The 19,844-nt window shown below is 41.5% G+C and overlaps 1 pseudogene, besides 2 other annotated features; it reads right to left on the bottom strand.

Moving 5' to 3' along the window:
• Positions 1,179–2,164: an enhancer, noted in NCBI's record as "NANOG-H3K27ac hESC enhancer chr1:171787149-171788134 (GRCh37/hg19 assembly coordinates)". NCBI's record gives its function as "activates a minimal SCP1, AML or CMV promoter by ChIP-STARR-seq in primed H9 embryonic stem cells {active_cell/tissue: H9 hESC(primed)}" and the evidence as "EXISTENCE:reporter gene assay evidence [ECO:0000049][PMID:30033119]".
• Positions 2,165–3,151: an enhancer, noted in NCBI's record as "NANOG-H3K27ac hESC enhancer chr1:171786162-171787148 (GRCh37/hg19 assembly coordinates)". NCBI's record gives its function as "activates a minimal SCP1, AML or CMV promoter by ChIP-STARR-seq in naive H9 embryonic stem cells {active_cell/tissue: H9 hESC(naive)}" and the evidence as "EXISTENCE:reporter gene assay evidence [ECO:0000049][PMID:30033119]".
• On the bottom strand, positions 6,203–18,200 carry RPS15P3 (ribosomal protein S15 pseudogene 3; annotated as a pseudogene).

The raw sequence follows: 19,844 nt of genomic DNA, 5'->3' as shown, positions 1-19,844 counted from the left end.
CTCTGTTCTCTGGGCTGTGCCCCATGGGCTCAGAGCCAGTGCTTTCTGCATCCACAGCAGTGATTCTGAATAGTCCCACACCAGTATCATTTCCACTTACATTTGCCTAGAAACGTTTAGATGGTGTTACTTTAACTTTCCCTTTCATTACCACACCCTGAATCCTAGACTATTAATACTTATGCAAAGGTATTTGAGTGCTAAACACTATTTTTGTTTTGTTTTGTTTTTGTTTGTTTGTTTGTTTTCAAGCCCATGGCAGAAAAGGAACACTATTTTTAAGCTTTACAATAACCTGACAACCATATGAGGAAACTATCACCACCCTCACTCAACTTCTCTTTCTACTGAGCTCCAGAAGCATGGGTAGGACATGCATGTCTGGCATGCCATAGGCTCTTAATAAACATCTTCCAAAAAGCAGTCATTTTCTGTCTTGAAATTTTGAGATTGCATCTATGCACACATTAATCTTACACAAATCACTTACCTAAAGCATATGCTAAGCTCAGTCACTGTGTCCTCTTTGGCCTCAGTGGTACAGTATTTCAAACAGCACTGGAAGAATTCTCATAGAGACCACGCTATAGGCAGGCGTTGTTATTATATGTATTTTCTTCTCTCATTTAATAAAGTAGCATAAATACCTTTTTTGTTAACTGATTCATTTAATAAACACTTCTTGAGGGCCTTTAGAATACTGTGCCAAGCATTGGAGATAAAAAGAATAATAAACAAATACATAAACTCAAAAAATTTAAATACTTTACTCTCTTTCTTTAAAAGTCTACTTCTAAACCTGGATGGACAATAACATCCCCAACAGGTCAGTAGGTTGGCACTTCAAGACCTAATTTCCAATGCAAAACTCTATTCTTCTGAACACCCTTTTTTTATTGTTCCTATCCAGTTCTAATTATTTATATATGTATTGTTCCATTTTGCATATGTGGTTGCATTACTTTGTGTAGATGGATGGATGGATGAATGGATGATTACACAGATAGATAATTACCTTCATATCTTTCCATGCATTTCATACATTGATATAGGAATACATACACACATACACACACACACACACACACACACACACTACACACCTATTTATATCTTTCTTTGTAACTATATTATAGGCTATTGACGGAGCATTGGCTATGTCTTATAACTGTCATCACATTTTTTTATAGCCCACCCATCTTTGTTCCCCATGCTCACTCCTGGCATCCAGTATGCGCTACATGAAAGTAAGATCTCAAGAAGGGGTGGTGAACTAACCAGGAGGGAAGGAATTTACTTGAGTAACATAGTATTTCCCTTCTCTGTGAAAAGTAGCAGCTATAGAGCAACTTCTTACTCAACATTTGCAGAGCGCTTCAGGGCCTTTCAAATCCTTTTATCTAACTCCACTCTCACAACACTGCCAAAAAGGTAGAGTGATTTTCCCATTTCACCGATGATTAAAACTGAGACCCACATGAGGTAACTGGCTTGTCTAGCTAGTGACTTGTGCTAGATATTTTCTGCATCCCCCCAGAGCCACTCTCCAGCTTCTCCACCCTGCTCTCTTCCTCAGGAGCTGGCCTGCGTGGCCAACGTCAACAACTCCCTTCTCTCTGGCTTTCAGTAAGATGTGGCCAATATAAGGGTCTCCAATGGGAGAGTGGGAGGAGAGTGAAGTGGGTATGTATAACCCTGACTCCATCCCTGTTGGTTCACTGTAAGTTGACTGTGGCCTTAAGATGATGGCCACTGCTCCTCTCAGGTGACTTTCTCCAACTTCTACTCCCCCGTGCTCCAATAGCCACTCTCCCCACTCATGCTTCTTCAGCCAAGTAATGGCTCCCCACACTTGCTTTCTCTGAGACCCTGCACCATCCCTTGCTGGTTTCCCTGAACCCTGCTCACACCCTTGTGAATAGTCTCTCTACCCAGCACCCTTCAATTGCCTACTGTGAATATGCCATATGTCTTACTGGGTTCCTGGGTGATATATGTTAGTCCTGTTCCCACCTTCTAACTCTTGCTCAATCCTCTGAGCTCTAATTCTAAACAGTTGCTTCTCTTGATACCAAATCAAAGGAAAGAGCATCATCATATCACATCAAGCAGCTCCCACTGCCTGTTACCCGTGAGGACCTTCCAGGAGTGCAAAAGCTCCTCACATCCACACTGCTTGGCTCTGCTGGTAAGTTCTGGAGTACAAATGTCTGTACCTGCAGACAGCTGTAGCTTTCTCTCAGTAAACAAATTGGCCCCAGCCACGGAGACATTAGTGGAAACAAGACAGTGACTCATCAGAGAAGCTACAGTCACTTGACCCCCTGTGACTCAGACACATTGTGTTGTCAACAGGGCACTGAGCTGAATAAAAGCTGAATAAACCAATGCTTTGCCTCACCCAGGCTCCTGGCAATCAATGAGTTAAAAAGCACTGAGAATATTAGTCTATTTGCTCCTCCCCTCAAATATCTCTCCTGTGTATCTTCCAACCTTTCTCTGTCATCCCTCCTCTTTCTTCCCCACCCACAAAAAAAAAAAAAAAATTGTTGAAAATGAATCAGATACAGGACACAAGGGTTGCACTTCCAAGATAACAAGCACACGGCCACCAGCCAGCACTGCACTTTGCTTTAATCATTTAGTGGTGCTTGGTATCCACAATTCCAAAAGCCCTGCTTCTCCTGTCTTCCAATTTTAGTCTTAACAAAAGAACACAATTTGAAAAGCCAGTACCCTTAGCTGCCTGGCTTCTGATCCAGTCTCTCTTCCCTAATTATTTCCTTTCTTGGTTGCAACTCCTTCAGCTTTTATAATTTTAAGACCTGTGCCTTTGGCCTGGCCTTGCAAAACTTTGCATATATTAGCTAGATAACTTGTTGAGCATAACATGTTCAATGAAATAACAATAAGCAAGTACCAAGTGTTCAGCATGTACTAAGGCCTTTACTTAGGTTATCCCATTTAATTATTTTAATAACCATGGGAGACTGTGTGTGTGTGTGTGTGTGTGTGTGTGTGTGTTTTACAAATGAGGACAGGCTCAGATGAGTTAAGTGGTTTAGCTATGGCCATGCAGTTACAGTTAATGATGAAAAAAGAATATGAATTTGAATCCAGGTCTATCTATCCCTCGATTCCATAATTTTTACCATTTTCCTACTTCTGTATAGATTTAATTTTCAAAATACAGAGTTCTTCAACTTCAGACAAAAATTCTCAAGAGAAGGCAAAATATGCCATGTTAATTTTTGTAATTAAGTTTAGCACTCATTTATTGAGCACATACTAGGTAACAGGCCATGTGCAATATACCAGAGGCACAAAGGTGGAAAAGATGCCATCTCTGCTTTGAAAGAGCTCACAGTCTACGTATAGAAGAGACACAGCTTCTAAATTTCTTTTAAGTCCCCTGGTTTCCCTTCAGCCCTGGGATTATATAAAAATAATTTTTTGCCTTTGTTTGTGTCAACATCAGAGCTGAAAGATTTCTACTTCTTACTCAGCAACTACAATTAAGACCAGAATAGATGAGCACATTTATGTGTATTTTAGAAAAAGGAAGAAAGGAAAAAGAAAGAAAAAAAAGAAGGGAAGGAGGGAAGGAGGGAGGGAGGAGGGGAGGGGAAGGGAAGGGAGTAGGGAGAAAAGGAAGAATCAGTACATTGGCCTGATTAGTGCTTAAGGAAACAAAGGAACAAATGCTTGAAATCGAAGCTGTCTCCAGAATTCCATGGTATAAGGTCCCTACACCTACATGGCAGGATTCATTCAATAAAAATTTCTTGAACATTTATTATAAGCTATGAATAGAGGCAAAGCGTTCATAGTCAAATGGGTAGAAGGACAAGTTAATCAATAATTACAGCCCAATGTGAGAAAAATCACAGCAGCAGTTCTCATAACACCCCGTGAGAAAACAGGAGAGGAGAATCTAAAGCACACAGGATAGCAGAGAAAGTGAGGATACGGGAAGAAAGTGATATTTGAGCCAAGACCTGAGGTGAAGTGGGAGTTAGCCAAGAGAAAAAGTTGGGAAGAAAACTCCGGAAAGTACACGGGTTAAGCAAAAAACAATGGGGGTAAAAGAACCCCAGGCCTTTTGGTGAGAACCATTGAACACTTGCCTGAAATTCACACCATTAAAGTCACCCCAAATTTTATGTTTTAATTTTTATATGTTTTATTTTATTTATTTAATAATTTTACTTTAAGTTCTGGGATACTTGTGCTGAACGTGCAGGTTTGATAAGTAGGTATACATGTGCCATGGTGGTTTGCTGCACCCATCAACCTTATTTTCATATTTTTAAATAGGTGATACAACCATGGCTCAAAAATTAAAACAATGTGAAAGAGAACCTACTGAAAAACCTTGTTACTGTGCCTGTCTTCGTCCTCCCCATCCTCCCCAGCCCATGCACCTGTCCCCATCCCTTAAGTAACTATTATGAAATAGTCCTTTGTATGTCTTTCCACTGCTTCTTTATGCAAATACAAGTCAATACGACTATATATATGTACATAATTCAAGACTTTCTGAAGGCATATGCGTTTTTTACTACGCTAAAGCATTGTATTACTTGGAGAAAGTAAAATACATATTTTAACGTTCAAAATAATGATTTTCTTGGATTGTTATTGTTGGTAGTCTTCATGGATGGAGTGCCCCCTACATACCATTACAGCTAAGGTCACAACTTCATTTTATAGATGAAGAGAAATGAGACTTAGAAACGTCAAGTAACGTGTCAGGTGCAGACAGCTAGTGAGTGGCAGAACTGGGGTCAGCAGAGGGAGGTGGTGCCCCCTCCTCCAGAATCCTATTTCAGAGAAATGGCCCTACCATTCACCTAATCACTAGAGCCAGAAACCTGAGTCCTTCTCAGCTCACATGAGGTCAATCACCAAGTCCTATTGATCTGAGCCTGTTATTATCTTTCAAATCCATTCCCTCCTCTCCACCCCATCATTGTCTCTCACCTGGTCAAGACCTAGATTTCTGACTGGTCTTTCTCCTCTAGACTGATGTTGCCTCCAATGTAGCCTCCATTCTGCTGCTGGAGTGATCTTTATAACACATAAATCTGATGGTATCTCTCTGCCTCAAAATCCTTCCAAGGCTCCCAGTTGCTAAGAGTATGAAACCTAACTCCTTTGCATGGCATAGTTGAGCCCTACTCACATTTCCTGACATTCCCACCACAAACCTAATGCTTCAGAAAAACCAAACCACTTCAAGTTTCTAGAATCCTCCAGATGTCTTCTGTTTTGGGTCTTTGCCCAGCCAAGTCCTCTGCCTAAACCACTCTTCTCACCCTTGGCAAACTCCCCATCCTTCAGCTCATGCAGTATATTTTCTGGAAGCCACCCACGTCTCCCCTAAGCAGAGTGGCACAGTCTTTGCCTGTGTTTTTGTTCATACCGATATGAAAGCAGTCACTTTGTGGTCATGAATGGTTTTTGTGTGTTTCTCCACATTAATCTTCACATTCTTTCAAACTAAGAACAACAGTAATTTACTTCTAATTTTATTTTATTTTATTTTTAGTGTAGTCAAATGAAGCAGTGGGAACAGAGCAGGAACAAAGGAACAAAGAAATCTGTTACTGGTTGTGATCGATTGGTTGTAAACACCACCGCATCACTGCATTGCACCACTACATCAGCCCCTTTTTTTTTTTTTTTTTTTAGATGGAGTCCCACTCTGTCGCCCAGGCTGGAGTGCAGTGGCGCAATCTCAGCTCACTGCAACCTCCACCTTTCAGGTTCAAGTGATTCTCCTGCCTCAGCCTCCCAAGTAGCCAGGATTACAGGTGCACACCACCACTACTAATTTTTGTATTTTTAGTAGAGATGGGGTTTCACCATGTTGGCCAGGCAGGTCTCAAACTCCTGACCTCAAGGAATCCTCCTACCTCAGCCTCCCAAAATGTTGGAATTACAGGCGTGAGCCGCCACACCTGGCCTGCACCAGCCACTTCTAATTTTAGATTCACAGTGCCTAAGATGGTGCCTGTCACATAAAAAGGCTTCCGTATGTATTTTTAGGTGTTTGTTATATGAATAATTCCCAAACCAGGCTCTTTTCATTCATTACCCAGACTGTCTCCCTCAGTAGTTCATTATTACCACAGGGGTGGTTTTACCTGGTACACAGATTTGAAGGAAATCTCTTGGATTATGGGCACATGATCCAATCTCAATAGAGAGCAGTAGTAGGACTGAAGAGTCTTGCAGAACACTGAATTCTTTTGAAGCCATGGTGAGCCTGCAGGAGGAGGAGGATCTGGTGACCCTGAAACAAGGAAACAAAGATCAAAAAGATAAATCTTACCTACTTTCTAATTTTACTTTTGGCAGGTCTAGAGTCAATCAGATGTATTTGAGGTTCAGGCTTAATAACCTTGAATACTAATCATGAGTTTATCAGTGTTATGCTACTACATGCAGCTAGGAAAGAATCTAAATATTAAGGGCTCATAATTCTATAAAAATTAGCACCATGACTCTTAGGAATAGAAAAAGAAATTCCTCTAATAATTGATTCTAAAACTTGGGTTAACGTAAGAATCATCTCAGCAGGTTTTTAAGTTTTCAAGGTCCCATCATAGAGCCACTGATTCAGGGGGGCCTGGAAGTTTTTTTTTTCCAACAAGCAACCCAAGTGATAATAATGTAAACAATGCTTAAAGTGGTCTCCAAAGCTTTTTTTTATTATACATCCCATATATTTAATTTTTTATTCATAAATTATACTCTGTTTCTGTACCTATACATAGAACATCCTCAGAATTAAAATATTTAAAAGATAAAATGAAGATAAATCTAAATAGAATTTTTAATATTATCTTTCCACCCAACAACAGATCATCCCAAGTATGTATCAATGTGCATCCCAAGAGCAAGGCTGCCCCTCAATAAAATCAGCATCTATTTTAATGGTCTCAAGGGCCTCATTTAGGGACATGTCCAACTACACAGTTTTTTTAATCTGTTGAGGTTCTTCTGTGTACCAGGGACTGTGCTAGACCATTTCACTCCAGATTATCTCATGTAATCCACCTAGTAACCCTGCAAGATAGGTATTATTAATAACAATTACATATTTGGAGACTGAAATTCAGTGAGATCCATGTAGGTTGCCTAATGTCTCATAGATAACAAATAATGAAAAAGGAATTTGAATCCAGGTTTCTAATGTTTTCCACTATATTATGTATATATGTCAGTTAAGAGTGTATTTAGCTGCAAGGGAACAGAAATTCAGTTACAATGATTTAACTAGATAGTGGTTTATTTTTTCTGTAACAAAAAGTCCCCGTGTATGGAATCCAGGCTGGTAAAGAGGTTCTATAATGACACCAGGTACACAGGTTTTTTCTCTCTTTCTGTCCTGCCATCTTTAGTAAGTAGTTTTTATCACAAAATAGATATTTCTACCTCCAGGCATCACAGCTCTATTCCTACAAGAAAATAAAAATGGGAGAAAGGACAAAAGACAAAAGATAAAAGCTAAAAAGGCCCTTACTCAGCCCCATTTAATAAGCTTTCCCAGGAGCCCCACCTGGTAACTCGATCTTGAATCTCATTGGCCAGAATTGTGCCACAAACCCACCTATAGCCGCAAGCTGTGTACAAGCTGTGTACAAGCTGTGTACTTTAAGCTGGGCATAGTTGGGACAAAATTGGATTTCTCCTAATTAAGAAGCAGAGATTGAATTTAGTGGATGCAACCAGGAATATCTGCCACATTACTTCTGTCTTAACCCCAAAACTACCACTGCATTGTAGCTACTACAGAAACTAATACAGTCTAAGCATCCCAGGAAGAGAATCTTTTCAAGTCATGTAGTCCATATCCCCATCTAATGCTAGGATCCAGTATACTCTATCATGACCAAGAGATCATCCAGCATCTGCTCGAAACTCCTAGGATGGGAAAGCTTACAACTTTACTCTGAAATCTCTTCTACTTGTGAGAGGCTTTAATTGTTGGAATTTCTATTCTAGTAAAAATCACAATGTATCATATTTACATTTTTACACTGGCGTCTTAGGACCGGGGGCTGTTATTTATTCATCTCTGTACCCGGTACAGTTGTCATAAAGAGGTGACTCAAGAAAAGATTCAAGGAATAAATGGAGAAATCTTTTTTTTATACTGAGATTAAATGATTCTTCTAACCACTTAAAAAAAAAAAAACACCTCTTTTTTTTCTCCCAGGCCCATTCCATTCAACTGCACTGTCATGTTCAGTTAATAAGCAATATGAAGAGTGATATATTAGGGTCACATCCCAGGAGCTGGTCAGGATGTATAAGAGGCCCTGCAGAGCTCTGGAAATAAGCTCTGATCAGGAAGAAGTGAATGTGCTTTAGAGAACAGCTTGTGATCTGGACCCACACACCACTGAGAAGAAATGGGGTTCCTGGAGGGAAGACCCCAAACCAAAATTCACCACTCTTTTCCTGGTCTCTGCCAATCTGAGTTTCCATCACTGCTTGGTAAATTTTCCACTACAACACAGGGAATCAAGGAAAATGATGCACATGCATGTGCACGTGTGTGTGTGTGTGTGTGTGTGTGTGTGTTTTCAAACAAGTTTCTCTCTGGGATTACGGCCCTTCCCACTCTTTCTCTTCCAAGAGCACAATCACTGCATCCTCTGGTGTGCTCATATGCATAAGTAGTTTTTACTCCAAAGTAAATGGAGGAGACAAACTAAGTGGAGATGTAAGTTCACAAGGTTCAAGTGATTGAAAGCTAAGATCTCCAGCTAGGCAGGACAAGATCTGATCTTATGATGACTTAACTTCTCTAAGCTCCTGTTTCCTCATCAGTGAAGCAGGAATAGCAATATCACCACCTCAAATGTTGTTGTGCAGATTAAATGAGATACAGCCTGTAAAACACTTACCACAATGTCTGGTACATATAGTGCTTGGTAAGTATCAGCCTATCATTGTCAACATCATTCTACTTAGCCCATGAGTTTGGCACAGGTTCTTCTCCTTTTGCAGGCTCTTTCCCTAGCCCTGACCTTCAAGATAATTCCTAGGCCAGGTGCAGTGGCTCATGCCTGTAATCCCAGCACTTTGAGAAGACAAGGCTGGAGAATCGCTTGAGGCCAGGAGTTTGAGACCAGCCTGAGTAACATAGCAAGACCCTGTCTTTACAAAAAACAAACAAAAAAATCTTTAATTAGCTGGGCGTGGTGGTGCCTGCCTGTAGTCCCAGCTATCCAGCAGGCTGAGGAGGGAGAATCCCTTTAGCCCAGAAGGTTGAGCCTGCATTGAGCTGTGATTACACCTCTGCACTCCAGCCTGAATAACAGAGTAATACCCTGTCTCAAAAAAAAAAAAAAATTCACCCCACATGCCCAAGCCATATGTAGCTCCCTCAGTACTATAGGCCTATGGAAAAGGAAACCCTTTTTCTAACTGGGCTCCTTCTTTGCACCTGGCTCATAGACTTGCTAGTAATTCCCAGGTTTCCTTCCCAGAAATAGTCTCATCCACCTTTCTTGATGACAAACCAGCACAATTTGGATGCCCCCAAGTTAGCTCTCTTTTCATTTCCTTCCCTTTACTCTTTGCCTTTTTCAAATAGTAGTAACAAGCACATAAATCCTAAATCCTTCAATCCTTCTTCTTATTTTTTTTAAGAGACGGGGTCTCATTTTGTTGCCCAGACTGGAGGGTAGTAACTATTCACAGACATGATCATGGCACACACTACAGCCTCATATTCCGGGGCTCAAGAGATCATCTCACCTCAGCCGCTCAAACAGCTGGGACTATAGGCATGCACCACCACTCCTGGCTCCCCAAATCTTTCTTAATAAAAATAATTTTTGAAAACATTTTACAATACACGATCATTTATTAAACACTCCCACTTAATACATCTCATTTTAACTTTACAATAGCATTGTGAAGGAATATTATTCCCATTTTGAAGATGAGAAAACAGATTCAGAGAGCTGACAACACCCGCCCAAGGACCCAAAGGGAGTTAGAATGAATCTGAGACTCCATTTCTGATGCTCTGAAATTCGTGATTTGGTCTCTGCCACCTTGACTTAGCACATGAGTCACTATATGTTGAGCAACTGGGGAAGAGATACATTACCAACATTTCCTGTCATTCTAGATACAGGTGTGCTGGGACATAGGGAAGGCTGCCTTCCATCCTCTCACTCTCTCTGTGATAGGAGCTAGACATGCTGGTACAAGCCAATGGCACTGGAATAACCTGGCTTCTGCTGTCTATGTCCATGACCACTAGAATTACCTCCAAAAGAATCTAAGCCATCTCACTCCATCAAATATTTATTGTATACCTAGAATGTATTCAACACCATAGAATATATTGTGATCTAAGACCTTGTCTAATGGCCCCCCAAAAGCTTCCAATCTAGTCAGGGACTGAGACTAAGAATATAAAATAATACATAATTAACTTTAAATTGGACAGAAGAGACCATAGATGCTGAAGTAGTTCAGAGAAAAGGTAGATTCATGAGGTCTGAAATAATAAAGAGATTTTATGAAGGAAAAGCTTCAGCTAAAATGAGAGGATGCATCATGAAAGAAATGAGGACCTTATGGCTACTCATAGATCCCCCAGTGTATTTAGTGTACCAGGCACATTTACTCATAATCACTCAGAATCCCCAAAGCAACAACCCAGGAGTCCTCACTTAATAGGTAAAGAAATTGAAGGTCAGAGAGGTTAAGTAGTTTGCCCAAAGTCACAAGTCTTTTAAGTGATAAATCCAGAATTCAAAGTAAGCTTTATCTGATGCTAAAGTTGGTGCTTTTTCTGCTACCTTGTTGCTTACTACTGACAGGTAAATCCAAGAGCTAAAACAAATGTTATTGGTCCATAAAGAGCCTATTGAGAGAAAGGGGTATAGTGAGAAGAGCACTGGAACTAGAATCAGCAGGCCAAATTTGTAATTAAGTTTTCATTTCTAGTGTATTTGGTAAGTCCTCCCTTGACTTTCCCTTGCCTTATCTGAGGTAAATGGAGAAAATGCTAGCATCTCTTTCAAATAACTATAATAACGATTAAATGATAAACATACAGATATAACTAAAACATTAAACACCCACTTTTACATGTGAATTTTAATAAAATAAAAATACAAATTAAAGTACTTATACATTTCACTGGATTTACCTAATCACATTCTATTAAATAACCACCATAGCATCTTCAAGACCTAGGTAGGTGTTAGTTGGACAGGCTAGATAACCTTTTTGGCACTTCTAAAACTAACAGGGGCTCTTAAGCTATCAGGGTTATCAATCTCCCTCCAAAGCTGACCCTTCTAGGCCCCCATGTATTAGCTCTGAGTGTTCTGGCCTCAGACTGAGGAGTTAAGGAGTGGGACCTCCACCCAACAGGAAGCCAAAGACCACTTCTATAAGAGCACCAAGCTGAGTGCATGGCAAATGCTTCATAAATAGGGGGTAAACTGAACTGAATTCCGAAGGGTCCTGGATTTCCTAAAGGGCAGCCTCTAAGACTTACCATTTTGTGGAATCAAGCAACGGATGGAGATGCAACCATGCTTGTAAGATACAGACACGTGTGTGGGATTGGGACAGAACTTTTCAATCTGGTCCCTCCCCTTTGTTCCATAGCCCACTGGGCTACAAAGGACCTCCTAGGAAGAATGTGCTCAGCTTTCTTTGCAATGACTGGGCATGCCAGAAACAGAGGCTTTGAATCATCTCATCACCTGGTCAGCAGGAGCTATTTATGCCAGAAATGTCTTAGAAAGAAAAGTGTCCTTTTATTAATTTCATGGCTTTCTTGCTAACATTTACAGTCCAAAACAAGTACAATCTGAATTTCAGACTTAGGTTTCTGACTTGAGGAAAAGAACAAAGAAAGTACTGCCTTCAATTCACATAGCTATAATTAGTGCCTTGTTCCCCCCAACAGTTCAATGTACTTGGTAGTTCTTCCTTTGTGAATTCTTATAAACTCAGAAATACTGTTAGGGCATAGGGGAGGGAGTCTCAACAAAGCTAGAGATCCTGGTTGAGCTAGTGGGGCCAGACAACGGACCACTGATGCTAATGGGATTTCACTGGCATGCAGGGATTGCAGAGGCCTGAGAACTCCTTCTGTGGTCGTTGGGAGAAGGCAAGGAAGGAGACTGCACCTGACTTACTCTATAGCCAATTATGTATGCACTCATTTATTTATTCGTTCACCTGTCACTTATTGAGAACCTTTTTGCATGCCCGGCACTGCACTAAGCACTTGGGGGAAAAAGAAGTTTTAAAGGAGAACAACTTTATAGAATAGGGTTATCTTCTGAAAGAGAACGGGAAACCAGGCTGAAATTATGGGGCCTGTAAAAAGAGGAAGAAAAGACAGCCATGGCCTAAAGAGTAGCCCTGGGGCAGAGCAACTCAAAGTTCTCTTGGGTTCTGTGGCATAGAAAATTTACATGACTTAACTAAGATCATACAGATCTTTGAAGTCAGAGACTGGCCTAAAACCCAGCCTGAGTGCCTTTCAGATGACCCCATGAACCTAGTACAGTGAAAAGAACTCAGACCTCAGAAAGAAAAACGCCTTGATTTAAACTCTGCTTTTACCTTCAGTTACTTTAGAACTAAACCTGTCTGAGCTATAGTATCTCATGTAAAAAATAGTGATAAAAAATACTTATTGTAAAATGAGGTTACTATAGGATTAAAATACATGCTGTGATTTCTGCTACAAGAAAGATGGAGTAGTAGAGTCCACATTTTCTTTCCCAGTTGATACAAGACAAAATACATGAAACAATGGTTTCTTTTTTTTTTTTTTTTTTTTTTTCCTGAGACAGAGTCTCATTCTGTAGCCCAGGCTGGAGTGCAGTGGTGCCATCACTGCTCACTGCAACCTCTGCCTCCCAGGTTCAAGTGATTCTCTGTCTCAGCCTCCCAAGTAGCTGGGATTACAGACAAGTGCCACCACATCTGGCTAATTTTTGTATTTTTAGTAGAGACAGTGTTTCACCATGTTGGCCAGGCTGGTCTCGAACTCCTGATCTCAAGTGATCTGCCTGCCTCAGCCTCCCAAATTGCTGGGATCACAGGCGTGAGCCACCACGTCCAGCCTGAAACAATGGTTTTCAAGACATTGGACATCAGGCAATAAAAAACAATAATCCCTGAGAGAAGGGAAACAAGTGAGATGAGCCCTATGATTGAGACAAGTTCCTGCCTTGAGAGAGTTCCCAGGTCATGGCCCAAAGAGTGAAAACTGACATACAGCCTTAGAAGACTCCATGAGTTGTAAAGACACAGCTGAAAGTCCAGAGAGACCTACCAATCTCTGCCTGAAAGAAAGAAAGAAATAAAGAAAGAAAGAAAGAGAGAGAGAAAGAAAGAGAAAGAAAGGAAGGGAAGGGAAGGGGAGAAAGGAAAGAAAGAAAAAGAGAAAGAGGAAGGAAGGAAGAAAGGAAGGAAGGGAGGGAGGGAGGGAAAGTAGTCAAGCAAAAAAGAGTATATACTATATGATTTCATTAATGTAAAATTCTGGAAAATGTAAACAAATTTGTAGTGACAGGAAGCCGACCACTGGTTGTCTAAGGACAAGACTTGGGGTGGGAAAAGTGGGATGAAGGAATTACAAGGAGCATAAGGTAACTTTGTGGAGTGATGGGCATGTATATACATATCATATATATATTCATCATATATATATATATTTTAGAGGCAGAGTCTCTCTGTCACCCAGGCTGGAGTGCAGTGGCACCATCTTGGGTCACTGCAGCCTAAACTCCAGTGGCTCAAACAATCCTCCCACCTCAGCTTCCCAAGCAGCTGGGACTACAGGTATGTGCCACCATACCTGGCTAATCATTATCAGGATTCTGGTGATGGTTTCATGGGCATATACAAATATGAAAACTTATTAAGTGGTATGATTTAAACATGTGCAGTTTGTTATATGTCAGTCACACCTCAATAAAGCTGCTTTTAAAATTTCCTGATATTTCTATGGTACCTCTAACATAGTAAGTCCTTAGTAAATGTTAGTTCTCTTTCTTTTAACAACTATGCTTTACAACTAGGAACTAATAGGATCATAATTCCTGACTAAGGAACTCTTTTTCTCACCAGAAAAGTGTAGGAACTATTTTTGAAAGGCTGAACGGCTTGGTCATCTTTGCTTTCGGTTTTACTAAGGCTGGCAGCTCTCTGTACCAGCAACGCCCCCAAAGAGCCAGGCAAAGTGAGTGAGGTCAGCCTAGCTTTGCTTCTCTCCACCTTCACTCCTCAGAGCCATCACCTTGGCAACATAATCCAATTTGATGGCTTATCAAAACACAAGATTCTTGATGTTTGTACCCCCATTGCCCCAGCATAGTGTTTGGTGTGTGGCTAGAGCTTAACAAAGGATCAGGGAGAACGAGTGAAGGAAAAGAGGAAAGCTTCCATCCCTGTGCCTGTGTGCCTGCATGGTGACCTCCAGGTCTTCGTGTAGTGCAGGTCTCAGCTAAGTCTCAATAAAGGAAATTCTCTGCTCTGGCTGAGGCGCTAGACCACTGCAGCTCTGGGTCTTGATAACACCCACAGCTTTCACACCAATGCCTTTCCACAACTACTTCACTTATTGGGTCTACTGAGCACTCTGCTAGGACATCACAACCATTCTCGGTCCATCGATCTTGATTGGATAGCAAAACAGATTACATTTTAACATCTTCATGTTGCTAGGGTTCTCAACTTTTGCGTTCAAAGAGACAAGATGGTTATCATAGTGGCAAGCACTGAACTGGAAACCTAGAGACATGTAGCTAGTCCTGGCTCTGCCCTCTCATCAATGAATGACCTGGAATCAACCCAGTCTATACTTGTAACTCATTGGCCAGCCTTCCTTACCATAACTGTGCTATTCCAGGAGAGGCAAAATGTTTAAGAGTCACATCACCAGCCTTGGGTTGGGGTAAGTCCTAGATCTGCCACGTGATAACTAGAAAATGGGTTGAGTGGCCTAGCCCATCCAGAGGGCCCTTTGTAGGAAATTTTTCTGTGGTCCATTTTTCAAATGGCCTGGGGCTTATTTATTCTCCTATAGGGAAGTAGATGCTGTGGTAGCCATGAGAAAATAGCTCTTCTGGTAAGGAGAGCGCTAGGTATGCAAACATTCAGTCAGCGGTACCCCTGAAATTTAACTTGAAAATTGCACCTAAAGGCTTCTGCAAATTAATAGCATTCAATGGGGGCTCAGCCTTCTTTCTCTGCAGGACATGCTAATATAGGAGCCTTAAAAATTAATAAATATAGTCTACATAACAGTCATACTTCGTACGAAAAGCACCTGCCACACATTAATGAAGCTGTCCTTTCATTTTTCTTCATTAAGTATAAGGCTTATGAACAAGGACATTTATTACTTTATTCATTACAGTACTCCTAGTGCGATAGAAAGGTGCCTGATACATAGTAGGCACTCCAACAAATGTTTATTGAATAAAAGAATCATTTAATAAAGTCCTTATGAGTTGAATCTGTATGCAATGCTTTGTAGTATTAAATGTATTGTAACCTTCCTTAACCAAAATAACAGCAACTTCATTTCCCCTAACAACTTTCTTTAAATACCCTCACAATTTCCTTCTTCCTTCCTGGGTAGTCTATTAGCATCCTCAGAAGACTGGTAGAGATCCAAGCTTTATTTTTGAGAATAAAAGCTGGAAATCATTATTTCCAGCTTTTTTCAGAGTTATAGATTAAATCTCAACAGAACCCAGGTGGGCTATAGGATTTGTTGACATGCTAAAGGGGCCCTGCAGAGTGCTGTACCATGTTGTAGGCATAGTACTGGTTCAGCTGAGATTTAATCTACAACTCTGAAATAACTATTTCCAGCTTTTATGAGAATAAACAGAGAAGATGGGCTATAGGACTTGTTTATGTGCTGAAGGGGCCCTGCAGAGTATTGTACCATCTTGCCTAGATAAATAAAAGATATCACTATATTGATTAGGTGTTTGTTTTATGCCTTCATTAAAGAACCAATCTTGGTTTGCCACTCTTGGTTTGTAGATAGAAACCAAGTTTCTTGGTTTCATAAATAGAACGAATCTGACTAATTAAAACCCTTAGCTCCACAAAATATTGCAATCATTCACATTTCCATGAGAAAAGACATTTTGTTATTTATTTATTTATTTAAGAAGTGTGTGTGCCTTTACTGGCTGAGCAGAATCCTTGAGGGTGGTGAAGCAGGAAGAGTGGGTGGCTCTGATGCCTGGCCGGGCAGTGCTTCACGAGCTTGTAGGTGATCGAGGTAATGGCCAATCCTCTCGGGCTTGCCCTCCACTTGGTTGAAGGCCTTGCCATTGTAGACGCCCACCATGCTACCCACCGTCTTGTCTCCCATCTCGGGCAGGATGATCATATCCTGCAGGTGCGCGTTCACCACCTCCAGCTTCTGCATAGGCAGTGCCCACTTCTTGCCCTTGCGCAGGCGCTTCAGCAGCGAGTGCTGCTTCTGCCACAGGCCACGGTGCAGCTTCATTCGCTGCTCGCATGACAAGTCCAGCAGTGGGTCGGGGTGCACGCCACAGGAGGTGAACTTGCAGAAGGTCTGCTTCTTCTGCTTTGCTGCTTTTTCTGCTCCACTTCTGCCATCTTGACTTTTTTTTAAAACAACATGCCTCAAAGATCTCCAGTGAAAGAAAAACCCAAACTGCCTCCCTTTTCAGTGCTAAAAGATAATATCCTATGGCAGCTATTTCTAGGCCTGTTTATTATCAGAATTGCTTGAGAGTTTTAAAAATGCAGATTCCTTGGCTCTACCTCTGTCCTACTCCATCACTCCCCCACCCCACCCCACACACACACACACCCAAGATTCTGACATAGTAGGTCTGGGATATGGTCCAGAATCAGTATATAGGAAATGGACCCCAGATGGTTTTGTTGTGCAACCGGATTTTGAAACCACCTTCTAAGCTGTGCTGCTATATAACAAAAAACGCCCAGAACTACTGACTACAAAACCAGGGACTCCTTTCCCCTTGTTCTAAAGAAGGGACTGTGTCTCCCAGCCTACCTGTCCTGCTAAATATGTAGGAGCTACAAGCTCAAATGCCTGCAGGACCAGGCATGTAACATAAATGCAGGAAACACACAGATGAGAGCAGTGGGGACTGTGGCAAACACCACCCATCCACAAGGCAAAGATGCTTGCCAGTTCCAGCCAAGTATGAACATGGGCCTGTCATCACAGGAGCTTCTAAATTCTCAAAAGAATCCAGAAATTTTATAGATTTTGTATAAAACGATTTTCTAATCGATAGATTTTATTTAAAATGTCTGGTGAAGGTTAAACACATCTGGGGTAGCATGTGGCCCAGAGCCCATGCACTTTGGGAGGCCAAACTCCTCACACTACTGCCATCCACTCAAAGGGCAAGGAGCTAAGGTGTGGGCTAGTGTGAAGGTGGGAGGGGAATATACTCCAATTACCAAGTGACTGCTGATGTTTGCATTTCAGAGCTAAGCCAGCAGTCATTAATGAGACTAGCATTAATGGTTCTCTGGTTCTGTGGGGTGGCACAAACAAAGCCCTTTTCGGCTATATATTCATTCCCCAAGGCTGCTGAAACAAATTACCACAAACTTGATGGCTTAAGACAACTGACATTTATTCTCTCACAACTGTAAAGGCCAGAAGTCTGCAAAGTGTCAGGAGGTGGGTCCCTCTGGAGGCTCTGAGGGAGAATCATTCCTTGCCTCTTTCCTAGCTTCTGGTAGCTGCTAGCAATCCTTGCTGTTCTTTGGCTTGCGGGGATGTCTCGCCAATCTGCCTCTGTCTTCATATGTCCTTCTCCCATCTCCCTTGTCTCATTTCCCCTTCCATTCTAAGTCCTTATCATTGGATTTAAGGTCCACTCCAATCCAATATAATCTCAGCTTGAGATTCTTAATTACATCTGCAAAGGCCCTTTTTCCAAATAAGCTCACATTCATAGGTTCTGGAGTTTAAGACTTAGATATTTCTTTTTAGAGCCACTATTCAACCCACTACAGACAGGTTTGCATTAAAAAATCCATTATTTCAATCAAATTTTACTTCTACCAACATTTATCTACCAATTTACTACTATGATAAAAATGACTTACATCTTGGCAGAAAACTTGAAGACATACCAGCTCAGGCCCAGATGCATGTTGTTACATTTTTTTCTTCTTATGTGCCACGAGCTTCATGTCTTACTAGCATTATTCCATTGCTGTATTTCCTGCCATTACTTCTAAAATCAGGGATGTAGGGGTAAAAGGATCTCTGCCTTATACAGGCTTCCACCACTGGAGAAAATGGTGCTGTCTCCATGTGCATGGACAGGAAACAGGTGATGGTGGAAGAGCAGAGGGCATAGGGTACTAGGTGAAGCAAGAGAACAACAAGTAAAGTAGAAGTCTGTCTTCATTGACCAGAGAAAGACACAGGAAATACGGCTCAGGTGAAAGAGCCCCTGGAAGTGCCAGGTTCCCAAGAATTTTTTACAGCCACCCAAGCACTTAAATGTGATTTCTAGTGCCATCTAGTGGGAAGCACAGGAACCAAGTGAGACGTGGGCTAGAAAAACAAAACCATGAGTCCAGCCTTCAGTCACTTTAAGGGGGCAGTTTTTATTGAGGCTGGATTTTTTTGTCTGCCTAGCAAGAGGATCTAAGAAGACTCTAAGCAAACATCTGACCATCTTGTATGCTGCCCTTACACTTTATGCACAGGTGGTTGCTGAAGTCATCCACGTGCTGTGTAATTTGTTCTCCCCAGCTAGTTGGTGAGCAGAAGCTATCTTTCCTCTTTTTATCAACACAAGCACAGTGTCTGGCACAGAACAACCTCTCCAAAAAAATGCCAGTTGGGTATATAAAAAAGAAAAATCCAACTTAATGGTTTTTATTATCGACCATTTAGCTGTTAACAAATCTGCAGGAATCAAATGGCAAGACAAGCCACAAGAGGGAAACTGTATGACTTATGGTTTACTAGACTTTGAGCTTTATTAAGCAGTCCTTAGGAGGTACACTCAGGGCCCAATTATAGCAGGGAGTGAGGCTGCTGTGCCCCATGGAGGAAATCGTCCAATGCAACAAGCTGACTCCTCACACTACTGCCATCACTCAAAGGGCAAAGAGCTAAGGTGTGGGCTAATGTGAAGGTCGGAGGGGAGTATGTTCCAATTACCAAGTGACTGCTGATGTTTGCATTTCAGAGCTAAGCCAGCAGTCATTAATGAGACTAGCTGGCAATTCCTTCCTCCTTACCTTGTGACATATCCATCCACAGAACCTCTTCTCCAGGGGTCCTCAATTTTGGCTGCAAAACAGCATCCATCACCTGGAAAGCTTTTTTAAAATTCTTATGCACAGGCTGCACCCCAGACCAATTAAATCAGAGTCTGTGGGGGTGGGGCCAGGCCTAGGCATTTTTTTAAAGCTTCCCAGATATATTCAATTTCTATGGCTGCTGTAAAGTTACTACAAATTTAGCGGCTTAAAACAACACAAATTCTTATCTTATAGTTCCGTATCAGGAGTCCAAAATGGGTCTCACTGAGCTACATTGAAGGTATTGGTAGAGTTGCACTCCCTGCTGGAAGCTCTAGGGAAGCTCTAGTTTTCTTACCTTCTCCAGCTTCTAGAGGCTGCCCATGTTCCTTAGCTAGTGGCCTATGGTCTTCAAAGCCAGCAATGACTGGTGAGTCTTCCTCACATTGCTTCACTCTTGACACTGAGTCTTCTGCCTGCCTCTTCCACATTTTAAGACCCTTGAGATTACGTGGAGTCCACCCAGTGTCTGTATC

Source organism: Homo sapiens, chromosome 1, assembly GCF_000001405.40.
Source record: "Homo sapiens chromosome 1, GRCh38.p14 Primary Assembly".
In the NCBI taxonomy this organism is placed as follows: Eukaryota; Metazoa; Chordata; class Mammalia; order Primates; family Hominidae; genus Homo; species Homo sapiens.
Note: the sequence above shows the minus strand (reverse complement) of the source record. Positions and strands in the feature narration are given on the sequence as shown.